The sequence below is a fragment of the Homo sapiens genome, chromosome 8 (assembly GCF_000001405.40).
Source record: "Homo sapiens chromosome 8, GRCh38.p14 Primary Assembly".
Taxonomy (NCBI): domain Eukaryota; kingdom Metazoa; phylum Chordata; class Mammalia; order Primates; family Hominidae; genus Homo; species Homo sapiens.
The window spans coordinates 42,310,373-42,327,672 of record NC_000008.11 but is presented as its reverse complement, the minus strand read 5'-3'; the positions used below and the strand labels follow the sequence as shown (position 1 = coordinate 42,327,672).

General features: G+C 47.3%; 1 protein-coding gene across 16 annotated transcripts in view, besides 2 other annotated features; it reads right to left on the bottom strand.

Moving 5' to 3' along the window:
• IKBKB (inhibitor of nuclear factor kappa B kinase subunit beta) overlaps positions 1-17,300 on the bottom strand; it is a 61,159-nt gene that overhangs the window by 4,788 nt on the left and 39,071 nt on the right. For 12 of the 16 annotated variants that reach the window (NR_033818.2, NM_001556.3, NM_001242778.2 and 9 more), the window contains 12 exons: positions 13,244-13,351; positions 11,334-11,463; positions 10,769-10,963; positions 9,902-10,016; positions 8,998-9,121; positions 8,252-8,403; positions 8,027-8,088; positions 6,829-6,938; positions 5,728-5,777; positions 5,520-5,619; positions 5,179-5,326; positions 1,576-1,703 (listed from right to left, as the gene is read on the bottom strand). Coding sequence is in view for 13 of the 16 variants with exons in the window: in NM_001556.3 (NP_001547.1) it covers positions 1,576-1,703; positions 5,179-5,326; positions 5,520-5,619; positions 5,728-5,777; positions 6,829-6,938; positions 8,027-8,088; positions 8,252-8,403; positions 8,998-9,121; positions 9,902-10,016; positions 10,769-10,963; positions 11,334-11,463; positions 13,244-13,351 (1,422 nt within the window). In the remaining 3 variants the exon portion in view is untranslated. Of the gene's footprint in view, positions 1-1,575; positions 1,704-2,311; positions 2,387-5,178; positions 5,327-5,519; positions 5,620-5,727; positions 5,778-6,828; positions 6,939-8,026; positions 8,089-8,251; positions 8,404-8,997; positions 9,122-9,901; positions 10,017-10,768; positions 10,964-11,333; positions 11,464-13,243; positions 13,352-17,300 lie in introns of those variants that run through there. The other 4 variants (XM_047421761.1, NR_040009.2, NR_033819.2 and 1 more) reach the window with 4 other exon arrangements.
• Positions 4,735-5,234: an enhancer, noted in NCBI's record as "H3K27ac hESC enhancer chr8:42179957-42180456 (GRCh37/hg19 assembly coordinates)". NCBI's record gives its function as "activates a minimal SCP1, AML or CMV promoter by ChIP-STARR-seq in naive and primed H9 embryonic stem cells {active_cell/tissue: H9 hESC(naive and primed)}" and the evidence as "EXISTENCE:reporter gene assay evidence [ECO:0000049][PMID:30033119]".
• Positions 5,235-5,736: an enhancer, noted in NCBI's record as "H3K27ac hESC enhancer chr8:42179455-42179956 (GRCh37/hg19 assembly coordinates)". NCBI's record gives its function as "activates a minimal SCP1, AML or CMV promoter by ChIP-STARR-seq in naive and primed H9 embryonic stem cells {active_cell/tissue: H9 hESC(naive and primed)}" and the evidence as "EXISTENCE:reporter gene assay evidence [ECO:0000049][PMID:30033119]".

Genomic DNA, 17,300 nt, shown 5'->3' with positions numbered 1-17,300 from the left:
CAACAAGAGCGAAACTCCATTTCAAAAAAAAAAAAAAAAAGGCTGGGTGCAGTGGCTCATGCCTGTAATCCCAGCACTTTGGGAGGCTGAGGCAGGTGGATCACAAGGTCAGGAGATTGAGACCATCCTGGCTAATACGGTGAAACCCCATCTCTACTAAAACTACAAAAAATCAGCCGGTTGTGGTGGCATGCACCTGTAGTCCCAGCTACTCGGGAGGCTGAGGCAGAAGAATCACTTGAACCTGAGAGGTGGAGGTTGCAGTGAGCCAAGATCGCGCCACTGCACTCCAGCCTGGGCAACAGAGCAAGAGTCTGTCTCAAAAAAAAAAAAAAAAAAAAAGAGAGAGAGAGAGACAGTCTCACCATGTTGCCCAGGAGACTTGCCTCGAACTCCTGCGAACCTCCTGCCTTGGCCTCCCAAAGTGCTAGGATTACAAGCGCGTGCCATACAGCCAAGAGAAAATTAAGTATCCAAGGTCACATAAACACCAAAAGAGGCTACAAACTCCCAAGGACAAGAACAAGATTCTTCAAAGCAGACTGTATTGAGATATAATTTATATACCATAAAGCTCACCCATTTAAAGTGTACAATTCAAGGGTTTTCGCGTATTTACAGAGCTGTGCAACCATCACCATATCTAGTTTCAGAATGTTTTCGTCATCCTCAGAAGAAACCTTGAATTATCAGTCACTCCCAACCTCCTCCCCTGCCCCAGGTAATCATCGGTGTTTCCCATGCCTAGAGATTAGCCTGCAGGAACCCATAGAGCCCTGCACACAGAAGGTGTCAAACAAAACAAAACACAGGAAGAGATGGGCGTGGGAGCAGAAGTGGCCTGCAGTGTGCTGGAGAACGGGCGGAGGGCTGCTAGACACAGACTGCTGGGCCCCAACCCTGAGCTCTCAAGTGAGGTCTCCAGCAGGACCTGAGAATTTGATGATGCACTGCTGGCCCAGATGAGACTTGACGAAAGCTCAGACCTGAGCATCTATAATGGAGGGAGAAGCTGTTATTTATGACTGACTAAGGAACACCTTGGTCAGAGTGGTATTTCGTGAAGATTAATTCAACCACACAGGGCCTGGCAGCAGAAAGGCAGGAGGCAGGAGGCAGAAAGCCCTGCCCCCACCTCTGCTGCGATGGTTCAGGCAAGAGGAGGGAGAGGACGGGAAGAATGGGAAGGTCAGTGGCACCGGGAGGAGGGTGGTGACTCGGTAACTCAAGGTACTGGTAGGGTGAGTGGGGGCAGAGGGCTTCAGGGCCTCCCTGAAGGGAATGTGGCTTCCTATGGATAAAGGGTAACAGCATGTGCCTGACCAGCATTTCCAATGTTCTCATTAAGCAGTTAGTCATCCAAGCCTTGGACAAAGAAACTAGTTAGTAAGTTTCAAGGGACTATGAGAGCCAAACATGTATCACTTTTGTCCCCACAGGACCCAGCAGATGCAACAAACATCCAGAGAGGTGGTAATACCATCAGACAGACATTTACCAGTGACAAACGCCTCCATCCCCGATCTCCTGACGTGCCCTTGATGGTCACACTTGGCACTGCTAAGGAGGACCTACCTCTTCTTGGCTGGCTCAGGTAAGCTGTTGGAGGCCGTGGAGGGCTGAGACATCAGCTGCCCAGGCTGGCTAAGTCGAGAGGCATTCATGCTATCCGGGCTTCCACTGACAGGACCACGGACCTTGCTCTAGGGGACAAAATCAAAAGAAATTAGGAGCCAAGTGATGAATCACATTTTGCATTCACGCCACAGTATTTTCTTAGGAGACAACTGGCTGGCTGCCAGAGGCCAGAGCTAACCCTACAGCCTACCAGTTGGCACCCCCACCTGCGGGTCAACTGGTGCTTCACATCTGGCTTCAAAAGTGTTTCTGTATCAACGGAGACTTTTGAGGAAAGGATTCTAAATTTAAGGAGACCTGGGTGCCTACATTAATTTGCAGGCTTTTTTATTTTCATCAGCTTTACTGATTGATTATGATTGAGAGTCTTGCTCTGTCGCCTGGGCTGAAGTGCGATGTGCGATCTTGGCTCACTGCAACCTCCACCTCCGGGGTTTAAGCGATTCTCCTGCCTCAGCTTCCCAAGTAGCTGGGATTACAGGTGTGTGCCACTACACCCAGCTAATTTTTGTATTTTTAGTAGAGACGGTGTTTCACCATATTGGCCAGGCTGGTCTCGAACTCCTGACCTCAGGTGATCTGCCTCAGCCTCCCAAAGTTCTGGGATTCATGATCCACTGCATCCAGCCCCTTAATGAACTTTTACAAGAAAAGAACAGGAAAGTATTCTTACTGTTTTCCAGGTAGAAGACAGACACACACACAAAGGCTATGGGAATTCCTGTGGCTTGCATCCTCTATGACCTGGCTGAGAAGAAACAAGGACACCCTGACTCCCAAGGGGCTGCAGCCACTGCCCCTCCCAGCCCGAAGGGTCAAGCAGGGGTTCCCATTCCAGCTACCTGAGCCTCCTCAGCTCACAGCCCACGACCGCCGGCCAATCTTCAGGTCACCCCTCTGCTGATCTCTGCCCTGCATGGTCCCCAACCCACCCATGTAGCCCCCCAGGCCCCACACCTGACACTCACTTCGGCCTGCAGTCCTTCATCCCCTCACGTGTCCCTCAGGCCGTGGAACCATCCTGGCTCCACATCCTCCCCTCCAGCGAAACCTCAAGGCCCACACATCAAGAAGCCATGTTAAGCACCCAAGCCTCCCGTTCCTGGTCCTCCTGCTGCACCTTCCCTGCTGACCATGCCTGGGGAGAGGCCCGGCATTGGCCTCCTGTGCTTCTGCCCTGGACCGAAAGTATGGCAGGGGATGGCTCCTGCACTGCCTGGCTCCCTCCCAGCCAGGCCCTGCCCCAGCTCCTGCCCCACCCTGTTCTGTGCTGCACAGCGGCGGCTCAACTCCAGCCTTGCTGAGCGGCCCTTCTCAGTGCTGAGGTTGGCCAGGGACTCAGATCCTCCAGCTGCCTGGAGAGGGACTTCCCCAAATCCCAGATGTGATCATATCCCTACACTCAAGTTCCTTTAATATCAAGGGAAAAGACAGATACTGCCATGTGTCCTGTGTGCTTTGAAAATGGACATAGGCCAGGCGCGGTGGCTCATGCCTGTAATCCCAGCACTTTGGGAGGCCAAGGGGGGTAGATCTCTTGAGGCCAGTTCGAGACCAGCCTGGCCAACATGGTGAAACCCCATCTCCACTAAAAATACAAAAATTAGCCAGGTGTGGGGGCATGAGCCTATAGTCCCAGCTACTTGGGAGGCTGAGGCAGGAGAATCACTTGAACCCGGGAGGTGGAGGTTGCAGTGAACTGAGATTGAGCAGCTGCACTTCAGCCTAAGGGACAGAGCGAGACTTTGTCTCGAAAAAAAAAGAAAATGAAGCGTGGCCCACGTAAGCTCACCCTTGCCTACCTCAGCAGCTTCATCCTCCATTGTGGCCTTCCCCACACACACCAGCCTGTCCCCACTCAGAACACACTGACTCCCCAGGCTCTCTGCCTTTGATAAAGCAGTGTCTCTGTCCTGGAACATCCTCACTCTTCAGCTGGAACAGCTCCTTGTGAACCTTCTTGTTGCTCCCTCTCCTCTAAGACAAGCTGGAGCTCCCCCTGTGCACAGAAACTGCAGCTCATGCCTCCTGGAGCTGCTTCCTAGCCCTTCCTGCCCTGAACGGCTCTCACTCATGCCTCTGTCTGTGCCCCTTGAAGGATCAGGCCCTCCTGGGAACAGGTGCCATGCCTTCTCACCTGTGTGTCTTGCTGGGCATATAGTTAGCATTCAGTAAATGCTCAATGGATGTAGATGGCACATCAGGCTATCACCTGCGCATACCTGCACCTCCCTCTCCTCTTCAGATCCTCTCTACCTCGTCATCCTGTTTTCTCCCGTTCCTCTCTTCTTACAGGAGGATGTGTCAATCACGCTCCCAAGGCATGCTCAGTGCTCTGGCATGCGACCCCAGCCCCTCTGTTCTCTGCACTGTGTGTGGATTGTCCCCTCTGCCTTTGACAATGAGAATCTCCTAATGCACCATCTCCTGCTTCCACCATGAGCAACCATCTCCCTCTCTCCTTCCCTTTGCTCTTAAGGGAAACTGACACCTAAATCACTCTTTCATCCATGTCACCTTCTCTGCAGCCTTTCACAATGGGGCTTGCAGTCCCAACAGCTCTGGCTCCCACAACACGGCCAGGCCTGCCCGTCTCAGTTCTTGGCTGTTTTGTTTCCCATTTCCCCACCATGTGGCATCCCATGGACTCACAGCTACGTTAAGACGGTGTGCACAGAAAGCGTGGCTTACTGCACTGAGGGCAGTGCAGACGCAGACGATGGTCAACCAAGTTGCACTGCCGTGCATGACGGTGGGCTGAATTGGTGGCCCTAAGAAGGATATGCCCACATCCCAACTCCTGGAGCCTGTGAGTGTGACCGTACTTGGAGAAAGCGTCTTTAGAGAACCTGAGATGACATCACCCTGGACTACTTGGGTGGGACTCAAATCCAATGACAAGTGTTCTTGTAAGAGTCACCCAGATAAGGGACACAGGGGTCCCATGAAGACAGAGACAGAGACTGGAGTCACACACCAAAGAACGCCTGGAACCACCAGGAGCTGGAAGAAGCAAGGACAGTCCCTCCCCAAGAGCCCTCAGAGGGAGCTCAGCCCTGCTGACACGGGACTTTCAACTCCTGGGCTCTAGAGCTCAGATAACACGTTTGTTTTTGTTTTTAGTAGAGACAGCTCTGCTGCCCAGGTTGGAGTGCAGTGGCATGATCACAGCTCACTGCAGTCTTGAACTCCTGGGCTCAAGCAATCCTCCCACCTCAGCCTCCCCAAATTGCTGGCGTTACAGGCATGAGTCACCATGCCTAGCCCAAATTTCTGTTGTTTTAGCCCCTCAGTTTGTGCTAATCTTTACAGTAGCCACACGAAAGTAATACACAGATGAATGAAAACAATTAGCACAGGCCCTTCCTCTGACCTCCCCGCTTACACCAAGTCAAAGAACAGCGACGTGAAGCCCGAGCAGCAGCTGAGTGGGCTGCTGGTGGCTCTGTGGTGTCCCGTGTGGGATGGCGGCAGTGCACAGAGGTGGAAAGGCACAGGAGGCTGCTAGGCCAAGGGCCCGGGACCACAGCACTCACTCACACAAGCAATCTTCAGGAGATTCCAGAGCTCCTTCTGCCGCTTCTCCTGCAGCCGGACAACAGTCTTCTCATCCTCATTCATTAAGCTCACCACCTCTTCCACCTTGGGCAACAGTTCCAGCGCCTTCTGCTTGCAAACCACAGTTTTACTGCAAAGAATAAACATGGCAAACTAATGGCATTTGGGCTGGAGAAAGCAGAACCTGTGGCAGCTGTGCATCCAGTCAGCAGCTGCAGAAACTCTCTTCATGAGGTCCAGCGAATCAGAGAGGAGGGAGGAAGGTGACCTCATACCTGCATCTCCCAGTCCTTCCTCCAGAGCAGGAAGGTCGGGGCTCATACCTGAGCTGCGTATAGATCACTCGCACTTTCTTCTCGAAGCTCTGAATTGCCTGAAGCAGCAGCCGTACCATTTCCTGACTGTCACCCTCAGTTCGCTGGTCTGGAGAGAGGGAGGGTAGCATAGTTCCTCAAGGAAGCCAGCAGAGAGTAGTGATGCCCCATAAATGAGATAAGGAGAAGCCCAAGGCAGACACAGAACCCCACTTACCTCGAGGTTTTTCCCTTAGTCTCCTGTACAGCTCCCTTGCTTGCTCCTCTCTAAAATATACAAAGAAGTTCTGTCTAGACTTGAGGTCAAATATGGCTAATTTTTACATTTTTTTGGTAGAGGTAGAGTTTCACCATGTTGCCCAGGCTGGTCTCGAACTTCTGGGCTCACAAGCAATCTTCTTGCCTTGGCATCCCAAGGTGCTGGGATTACAGATGTGATCCACTGTGCCCAGCCAAAAACATTTTTTTTTTAAATTAGCTGAGCATGGTGGCATGCGCCTGTAGTCCCGGTTACTTGGGAGGCTGAGATGGGAGGACTGCATAAGCCTGGGAGGTCGAGGCTGCAGTGAGCTATGATTGTGCCACTGCACTCCAGCATTGGCAACAGGGCAAGACCCTGTCTCTTAAAAAAATAATACAAATACAAATAAAAGAACTAGAGGAGAATAAAGGGTTAATTAGAGAAAATACAGAATCAAAGTTCTGACATTTGGAGCTCCTGTCCTAAGAATCCTAGTGAGAGAATCAGGGAACACTGCTGAGCTCACGGTGACACAGCCCTCAAGCGGCCTGCCTGGTTCCCTCCATCTGTACGCCAGGAGCACATGTGATCTCCTTCAGGTAGGAGTGATCTGCCTAGACCCCTCCGCCCCTCATGGAGCCAATGCCAAATACCTGACAAAGACTCAAACGAATAGTTTCCAGGTCCAAACTCCTAAGCCTCATCAGGTTCTTCCTTCTCTGTTTTACTTTCTGCTCTGAGCTATGCCTGAGTCAGGGTGGGTGGAACAAATCAGGGGAGTCTGCTACAGGGGTAGAGGCTGCTTGCATTTTACAGCCTTTACAGATTATGGCCTGCGTCTCAAATGCATTATCTGAATTCATCCTTACAACTTCGTGACTTAAGACTGTTTTTCTTGTCACTGAACAGATTTGGAAACTGAAGCTCAGTGATGATTTGCTGGAAGTGACCCCACAGGGAAGCATGCTCTAGAGAATGGTCCCGCACAGCCACTGAGGGTGCCCTTGACACACACACCGAAGCTCCAGGGCTGTCTGTGTGTGCTGGGCACAGAGGGGCCCCCCAGCCAGTACTCACAGGTCGTCCAGCGTTCCCCCCTGCTTCCGGCCCATGGGGCTCCTCTGTAAGTCCACAATGTCGGTCTGCAGAGCCATCATCCGTTCTACCAGGAGTTTCACTTCGTTCTCCTAATGGAAAAGCTGTGCTAATGTCAACTGATGTGGTAGGCGCATGCTGAGATGCAAGATCTGCGGGGGAGCGAGACCAGGGGACCCGCCACATTCCCTGAGGACCCTCAATGGACTGGCTCAAAGGAATGTGGACTGTGGGGTCTGAATGGCTGCGCCTGCATCTAGGGTCCACCGCTTTCTAGCTGTGTGACCCCTTGGCAAGTTACTTACCCCCAGCTACAGTTTCCTTTTGCATAAAATAGGCTTCTAACAGGGCCATCTGAGGAGTCAAGTAAGATGAAGTACTTAAAGCCTCTGGCATGGTGCCTGGCATACAGAAGATGCCCAAGACACATTACTTTCTCTTCTCTTCATCTGTCTATCCTGATGCTACCCGGGCAGGGAGGCCCAGACTGTTTTATTTCACAGATTATGAGTCCCAAGATGGGGAGGAGCACTCAGCCCTTCTATGGTTAATATTCACCATTAAACACACATATACTCCATCAGTACTGATTCATAAAAATCGATACTAAGACACAGGTGAAGATCCTTGCCCAAGTACACAGGGGAAAACAGAGGATAAGTCCAGGAAAAAGCCCCGGAGCCTGACTTCAACCTTCAGTTTGTGTGAGGTTCATTAAGTCACATGTATTTCCTTTGCCTTCATAATTAACTTTTTTTGGTGACATCTGATTTACGCTGCCCTGAGACTTTCTGCCTAGACCTTTTATTTCCTATGGATTTAGCATCCCAACAAAATTAGTCAAAAACCTTCGACAAGAGGGAGTGTTGATCATCCATCCAATGCCCTTCCTAACAGGAAATGGTCTTGGCTTTTCCCCAAGGGAACCTAACCCTTGCTTCTTATTTAAACCTGGACCATCTCTGTCCATTCATGCAGCTCTTGCATCTGGCCACAGAGGGGCTCCCTTCACTGGCTACTCTCTTGGCCTCTTTTCAGCTGGTCCAGTTAAGCTCAAAGCATGGTGAGGAACACCTGATTTTTGACAGAGATCGACCCAGTGTTTGATGAGAAAGTGAAAAGTGGGAGCACAAAATCTCACCCCCTTGGTAAGTTCCGAAACCCAAAATGAGTCTCCTACCCGCCCACAGAGCTCCACAGCCTGCTCCATTTCCCTCCAGGCCAGCAGCAGTTTATCTGATGCTGAAAAAAAATTGAGAAGGAAAAACAAAACAAAACAAAATAAAAACACCACAAAACTGAAACAGAAATAAGCAACTCAATTATAATAGGACAAAAGAAACCTTAGAAAGAGAAAAAGAAAAAAAAATGGTGTCTTTAAACTCATTGCAAAGTGCACACTCACTGATCCCAAACTCGGTTTGCTCGCTGTACTTCTCCAGGTCAATCTGGATGCTGGTTTTGAAGAAATCCAACTTGGCCTTGAGCTGCTGAGACATGGAAGCCATGGAATTCTTCATTTTGGAGAGGCAGCTGTTGTTTCGGAGGAGATTCATCCTGCAGGGACCACAAGGAACAGTCTTGGAGCATCTCTGGGATCCAAATTCCATTTCCTGTACAATAACAAAACCCCCTCAAATGTCAAGGGAGGTCCCTGCTATAATTATTATCATCATCACTATTATTATAGCAGCCACTTATAACCCAAGGACAATTTCCTAGCCCTCAGCAATGCCTGAGGTTCTGCACTAAACTTGACATCAGGCAAAGGAAGACACAAAAGGCCAATAATGTTGGCAAACGAGTCACAATGAGGAAAGAGTCCGTAAGTCCCCAGCAGCACGGTCAGGGGAGTTTTGCTAATCCACATGGTAGTGAGCTCCTCTGGGTTCCCAAACCAGCCACAGCTTGGCCAGCCCAGCTTCAGTTCCACACTCCTCACCCTGTGCCAACCACACTCACCTCGCCAGGTCTAAAGGGGCCTCCGTCAGTCCAGCCCACCCAACCGCTTCCCGTCCATCCAAACCAGTGTCTTCCTTTTGTTGCTCATAACGGTTGCTTCTGGGTCCCTGCCTCAACCACCTCCCTGTGGCCAAAGCCACCAAGGAATTTTAAATAAATTAAGTTTAAAAAAAAAGCCTGGCACGCTACATGGCGGCTCGCTGTCCCTGCTGCAGCCGGTTGCAATCTTCCTTCAGGGTCTGGATGCTGTGCCAGACCTGGCCCCACACCTTCCTCAGCTGGAAGAAGGCGAGATTCCTCTTGGGCTCTTGAACTGGAGACAGAGACACAAGCAATTGTCAAAGAATAACCACAATAACTCTCCTACAATTAACCATATCCTGCCTTCGACACTACTGGCACTTTCACGTTTTGTACCTACTATAGGATCATGTAACTTTGGAGGGTGTTATGCCTGGTTACTGTCACATACATGTATTTGTACCAACAGCATGTACCAGTGGTCAATAAGTAGCTGTTGATTTGAAGGAACACTTTACGAACCATTGGACACATATGTATATAGGGCCATATATTTTCAACAGAATTTTTTTTTTTTTTTTGAGACAAGGTCTCGCTCTTGTCACCCAGGCTGGCATGCAGTGGGGGTGATCATGACTCACTGCAGCCTTGAACTCTCAGGCTCAAGTGATCCTTCTGCCTCAGCCTCCTGAATAGCTGGACTACAGGCATGCACCACCACATCTGGCTAATTTCTAAATTTTTAGTAGACTTGCGAGCTTACTATATTACCCAGGCTGGTCTTGAACTCCTGGGCTCAAGTGATCCTCCTGCCTCAGCCTCCCAAAGTGCTGGGATTACAGGTGTGAGCCACCACGCCCGTCCTAGGAGGTTGAAATTAACTAATGGTTTCCTGTACTCTCTCTTGCCTGGCTACTCCTTGCATGTCCTAAATAAGGAAGGCTGCCCTGAGGACTGGCGATATTAATTTCCTTTACGTGGCTCCCCCTTCCTTAGTCCAGTCTCCCTTCCCTGCCTTGTCCCACATATTATAACGGATTATTTAGAAAAACAAAACATAACAAATTCTTACGGATACAGCTGACACTTTCAGGTTGGGGCCGTGGGGAGATCTGAGTCTCATAGGTGATTTTACTGTTGTCAAAGAGAAAAACAAGATCCATGTCCAATGTGTGGCCCTCATTTAACTGCAAAGGGACAAGGACAAAATGAATCTTGTGGATCCAACCCTCTCTTTTCTAACTGATAATGAAGAAGTTCCACAGCTTTCCCCACTGTTCAGCAAGAGCATCATCTTCAGCCAGCAAGTAGGAAGCATCCATGAAGTGTTTAACGTTTCCAGCCACACTTACTGTCTGAACACACTCTTTATTTACAAACGTATTACATTCTATTTTACTCTCTGTCTTCCCTGGGAAGTTCAGAAATTCACTATATACTTCCCTATGCAATGATTATTTCTCATATGATAACTTTAGCTCCACAAGTCAGCTGAGAAGGTCTTTTTGAGCAGAGGTCATGTCTTACACAGCTATAGTTAACACAGGTGCCTAACCCAGTTCTGTACACAGAGGCCATCATAAATACTTTCAGTTGACTCAAGAAAGTGCAGCATCCTTTTTTTTTTTTTTTTTAGTACACTTGGAAGAGGGCCAAGCAGGCAACTTGAGAGATTCGAGTGTTATAGCATCATTTTTTGCAATAAAGGCAAGAGACCGGTCTTGGAGGGTTTGGAAGTAACAAGTCCAGCAAGGAGATTTGTGTTTCCTATCAGGCCACACAGAGGACACCATACTCCAACTTAAAAACCAGCCAGGTATCCGCACTGTGTGATTAACAGACTACATGACAAAGCAGAATTGAAATCTGAAAGTGTGTTGAGTTTCCCAGGAGGCACAGCCAAGGTAAACAGGATGGTGTGTACGAAGCCAGGGCTCACCTTGCCGTCTGAAATACACTGAGTGGCAGGCTTATCGGGGATCAACGCCAGGCCCGCTTCCTGCAGCAGCTCCTGGTCCTCCTCTGGGATGCCCGTGTCCTGTTGGATTCTGGCCTTCAAGCTCTGCAGACTCTCATCCTCTGTCACAGGGTAGGTGTGGATGGTGCCCGTGACCATGTTCAAGATATGAACCAGCTGCAACACAACCCAGATGTTACTGGAAAACCGATTTCTTCAAGGAAATGCCCATCTATTTGCCTAGGTCCTCTCTCTGCTACTCCCAACATTTCCCAACCACACAAAGCAAGGGCCTAGCTTGAGGGAGGGAGGTCATGTGCCATGTTTCGCATATTTGCATCTTTCATAATCCTGTCTGTGGCTATGACCTCATAGCCAATGTCAATTAGCACAACTGTCCTTTCTTTACTTATGCAGAAAGACTGATGCAGGAGCCTAAATTTCCTCACTAGGTCAGCTGGCCCCATCCCCTGCTCTGTCCTAAGAACTGCATGTTCCACTGGGGACCCCAGCTTTTGCCTCAGGGCTAACTTGGCTCCACACTCACCTTTAAGTTTAAGATGTCATCCAGGGCCTTGAAGCAGCCATTGGGCCCATACGTGGGATCCGTGCCCCTCTGTCGGGGGTGCCACATCAGCATCAGTTGCAGCCACTTCTCCAGTCGCTCAGCCAGGACACTGTGGAGAGGAGCATAGTGTGTGAGGAGACACTTCCAGCCAATGTTGGGCTACAGTGTGCGTCTCCCAGTATACACACAGACGGCAGCCAGTAGACGGTGATTGAAAATGAAAATGGGTTTATCAGAAACAGTATAAACATTTCCAATCAATTATTCAGGTGTTCACACCTCTCTCCTGAATTCTAAAATACCCCCAAATCAGAGATTGCTGACCTCCAAATGGCTGCATAAGAATGACCCATGAGAGCCGGGCACAGTGGCTCATGCCTGTAATCCCACACTTTGGGGAGGCCAAAGCAGGTGGATCACTTGAGGTCAGGAGTTTGAGACCAGCCTGGCCAACATGGTGAAACCCCATCTCTACTAAAAACACAAAAATTAGCCAGGCGTGGTGATGCACACCTGTAATCCCAGCTACTCGGGAGGCTGAGACGGGAGAATCCCTTGAACTTGGGAGGCAGAGATTGCAGTGAGCCAAGACTGTGCCACACTGCACTCTAGCCTGGGTGACAAGAGGGAGACTCTGTCTTAAAAAGAAAGGAAGAAAGAAGGGGAAAAAGAATAACCCATGAGGTTTTAAAAATACACTTTATAGGCACATCCTAGCTTAGGTGACCCCTACAGAATCTAGATCCCATGCTGCCAGATATAGCGGTTCACATGACAAACTCCAAACTCCTTCCCCTGGCCCTGCAGAGCCTGCCTCCTGTGAGCACTCAAACCCTTCCCTGAGGCCAACACAGCTACTCACCACCTCCCAAACGTGCCTTGCTCACCTCAATCTTTCCCCTTAGAATTTCCTTCCTCCTTTCTCTTCATCTATCCATGTCCTGTACATCTGTCTAGACCCTTCCAAAAAGTTCTAGCTTATCCCACGTCATTCCATATAGCACTAATCCATCCAATCATCTCTTCCACCCTCTAAATATGGTAATCATTATCCATGTCACTCAATTATGTGTGACTGCCTTGTAGCTTTCTTTTGCACTGTTACCCAATTCTGTACAATTATACAATATTATTAATTGTTTAGATTCTGGCTCTGAGACTGGATTGTAATGCCATTCAAATGACAAAGATTTATTTGTTGACTGTGACACAGAATTGGGCCACATGAGGGGTGGAAAGAGAAATAAGGTATAATTCCCTACCCTTAAAAGGACTGCTGTTGAATCAGAGATAAACCCTATGCAAAACCGAATGTGATACAAGGTAGAGGCTATTAAGGGTAATAAGAGGTATAGATAAATTGTTATGTGAACTTAGAAAAGAGATGATTTCTAGGGAGATAAGGGAGGAAAACCCATTCCAGATTTAAGATTAAGAAGGACTATGTTAATTTCTTAGTCACAGGACGATATCCTGATAGCCTGTTTAAAAGTTATCAGATGTCACTTCAGACTTGAATTTCTTTTTTCTTTTTTTTTTTTTTTGAGATGGAGTCTCACTCTGTCTCCCAGGCTGCAGTACAGTGGCACGATCTCAGCTCACTGCAACCTTTGCCTCCCGGGTTCAAGTGATTCTCCTGCCTTAGCCTCCTGAGTAGCTGGGATTACAGGTGCGTGCTACCACTCCTGGCTAATTTTTGCATTTTTAGTAGAGACGGGGTTTCACCATGTTGGCCAGGCTGGTCTTGAACTCCTGACCTCAGGTGATCCACCTGCCTCAGCCTCCCAAACTGTTAGGATTACAGGTGTGAGCCACCACGGCCAGCCAAGACTTGTATTTCTAAAAAAAGCAAGAAAGATATGTATTCGTGTAATGCCGCTGTGCCTTACCTGTTAAGATTATTGGGGTAGGGTAAAGAGCTTGAAAACTTCACCGTTCCATTCAAGTCTTCGCTAACAACAATGTCCACCTCACTCTTCTGCCGCACTTTTGAATGCCTGCAAATATGAATCTTGTTAGGTGCAGTCACACGTTGCTATGACGGGGACACATTCTAAGAAATTCGTCATTAGGTGATTTTAGTCCTTGTGTGAACATAACACAAACCTAGATGGTTTAGCCTACTACAGACCTAGGCTGTATCGTACACCCTATTGCTCCTAGGCTACAAACCTGTACAGCATGCTCCGGTACTGAATACTGTAGGCCAGGGTAACACAATGGTAAGTATTGGTGTATCTAAACATATCTAAACCCAGAAAAGGTACAGTAAAAATACAGTATTATAATCTCATGAGACCACTGTCATCTATGCAGTCAATTGTTGACTGGGATGTCAATGAAATATACAGTCATACATATCCCTACGACACTTAGCACTCAAGAGCCATTTTACATTTGTAATATAAGTTTACAACTATACAGGAGACTTATAGCCCCAGTCTTTTGGAATAGCAGTCAGTTCATTCACATCGAGTCAGGCAGATTCTTTGAGAGTTTAAGACTGGTCAGGACTGCCTGGATGAGTTTTTGAAGAGCAACCTTTAGCAGAGTCACTGACCATCTTGTGCCCAGAGTTCTGCAGATAGTACCACTGCCTCCTTATCTCATCCTTGGCTTTTCCTTCTCCCTTGCTCTACCTTCTATTTCATCTATTACACACTCTTGTGTTTTGACAGAGGTTAAAATTAGGACTTCCAAACCTAGATTACAGCATGCATACGACATTTACATAAAATATGCAAAACCTACGCACACACATAGATACTTCCCTCTAAATGTACACAGCTAAATACTAAGGATAAATGAACTTATACATTTCCCAACTTAGGGAACTTCTTGGGGTATGTGAAGTAGTATCTGAAGGTAAAAAAATTTTTTTTTTCTGTCGCCCAGGCTGGAATGCAGTGGCACAATCATAACTTACTGCAGCCTCGACCTTGTAGGCTCAAGCAATCCTCCCTCCTCAGCCTCCTGAGTAGCTGGGACTACTGGTGTGCGCCACCACACCCAGCAAATTTTTGTATTTTTTGTAGAGACGGGGTTTTACCATGTTGCCTAGGCTAGTCTGAAACTCCTGGACTCAAGCAATTCGCTCACTTTGGCCTCACAGAGTGCTAGGATTATAGGGGTAAGCCACAGTGCCCGGCCAGTAAAAATAATCTACATACAAATGGCTTCAAATCTTGGTAATAAGAAGAGTAAATTTGAATAATACTTCATAGATAACCAAGTACTCTGACACAGATCATTTATTCACTTATTGCCGTGACAGGCCCATGTGGCAGACATTATTTTTAGTCCCCCAATTTGGACTAAAGGAAATGATGATCAAATGATTTGTCCAAGGTCACACAACAGAGTAGCAGAATCAGGGGCTCAAACCCAATGTCTGGTGTTCTTTCTATTCTGTCTGAATGTCCAACTACGGTTTTTCCTCAAAACATCTAGGAAATTCAAATAAAAAATGCTTTGCTCCAAACAATTCTCATTGGCAAGTGGTGAACCGGCCTATCGGGAGCACACTGGCACTGGAAAGCTAGAAGAGCCGGTGCGTGGCAGAGGCTGGTGCTTTATAGCTTGGGCTGAAACTCTGACAGCTCTAAGTCGGGGGCTCCAAGACTTTCTAATTATGTAAGTGTGGAATAAGCCTCTGCTAGAAAACTTAGGCTGTTGATGGGAAATTAGAAAAGGACCCAAAATAAGATGCTTATTGCTTGGGCTTGTCCTAAAATATATTTCAAAGTGGCTTTATAATAGAATTGTAAAGCCCAAATTGCATTTGTCTGGAAATTACTATTTACCTGCCATCTGAGATAAGATAGTGAAATTTTTTAAAAGTTTCCCAAAGCATTAAAAACTAGATAGTCCACAAAACAGCTCCTTATTGGGTTTCAGAGAAATCTACTTGAAACTGGCCACCTGGTCCTCCAGCACTGATGAGGGAAGCTCTAGGAAGATGGCTCTGCAGACAACAGATTTCCTATGAAGACGCTGGGCCATTAGGAATGTATTTTCAAAAAGCACCTGTTCTTCTAGTTCTAATGGATTTTAACTCATCTTGTCATAAATAAGAGACATGCTCAACAAGTGACCTGAAGAAATGCAATAATTCCTTTAGTTAAAACCACTACAGCCGGGCGCGGTGGCTCACGCCTGTAATCCCAGCACTTTGGGAGGCCGAGGCGGGCAGTTCACGAGGTCAGGAGATCGAGACCATCCTGGCTAACACGGTGAAACCCCATCTCTACTAAAAATACAAAAAATTAGCCAGGCGTGGTGGCGGGCGCCTGTAGTCCCAGCTACTCGGGAGGCTGAGGCAGGAGAATGGCATGAACCCGGGAGGCGGAGCTTGCAGTGAGCCGCGATCGCGCCACTACACTCCAGCCTGGGCAAAAAAGCGAGATTCTGTCTCAAAAAACAAAAACAAAAACAAAAAAACCCACTATAGATGTACATGCAATTTAAAGCTATTTTTATAATGCGTATACTATAAAGTGTGACTATAAATTAATGAACAAATTCCTCAATATTCCAGAACCTATGTAGCTAAAGGAGCAATGCCTGTTTTAAAATAAGTCACCATAGTGGGGCATACTTTGCCACTTCTCAAAACTCAGGGCAGACACCTCCCTCACTGGGAGGTAAACGTGGAATTGAACAGACTGCCATCACCTAAGACCACTTTTCTGGAATTGATTTCAAAGGATACACTTTATTCTTTTTTTCTTTTCTTTTTTCTTTTTTTTTTTTTTTGGTAAGATGGAGTCTTGCTCTGTTGCCCAGACTGAAGTGCAACAGCGCAATCTTGGCTCACCACAACCTCTGCCTCCTGGGTTCCAGCGATTCTCCTGTTTCAGCCTCCCAAGTAGCTGGGATTACAGGCGTGTGCCACCATGCCCAGCTAATTTTTGTATTTTTAGCAGAGATGGGGTTTCATCATGTTGGCCAGGCTGGCCTCAAACTCGACCTCAGGTGATCCGCCCATCTTGGCCTCCCAAACTGCTGGGATTACAGGCATGAGCCACCACGCCTGGCCCACTTTATTCTTATAAACAAATACTCTCAAGATGTAGACACTTGTCCTCTGAAAACATTCATGTTTTGTTTTCATTACTTCCAGAAGGTGACAATAGCCAGTGTTGGCAAGGATGTGGTGAAAGGGGCAGTGTCCACACTCCAGGTGGAGACGTGTATTTATATGACCTTCCTGGTGAGCAGTTTGCTAACTAATATGCATCAAAAACCTTTACAACGTGCAAACTCTTTAATCTGTTATTTCCCTTTCTAGGTATTATCCTAGGGAAACAACTGTGTGCAAGAATTTCCCTACAAGGATGTTATTCTTGGTGTTATTTTAAGAAGTAAAAATTATCAACGTCCTTCCAACCACGGGGGATAAGTTAAATGAACCACAGCACAGCCATTCAGTGAAATAACAGACATTACAAATAATAAGGAAAAACATACAGCATTTTTGATATCTAGTTTGAAAGGCACGTTGTATGAAGATTATAGTAACCTATTTTTGTTTAAAAAGTACAAAAATATAACGCTGAAGAGCCTGGAGACACACAACTGTTCATAGTGATTGTTTTCCAATTATGGGATGACAGTTGATTCCTGCTTTTTTACTGTTTCCATATTTTCCAAAACACAAAAATGAAACAAAGTTAATCTGGCAAAAATGAGGGGGTAATTAAACTATGCAGTACTATTTAAGTTCAAAATAATAATTTTTTGTGTTGCAGATAAATTGGCTCAAAAAGAAATTCTCATGGTGTGAAAAGCTTGAAAGCATGTGCAGGACCGTGTTCAGATAATGCTACCATTGGGATAAAAAAGAGGGGAAACATCAATGTACAAATAAACAAATATATGCCAATTTACTGGAACACGTAGCAAACACCCCTGGAAGATACGAACACCTTGGAAGATATGAAAACA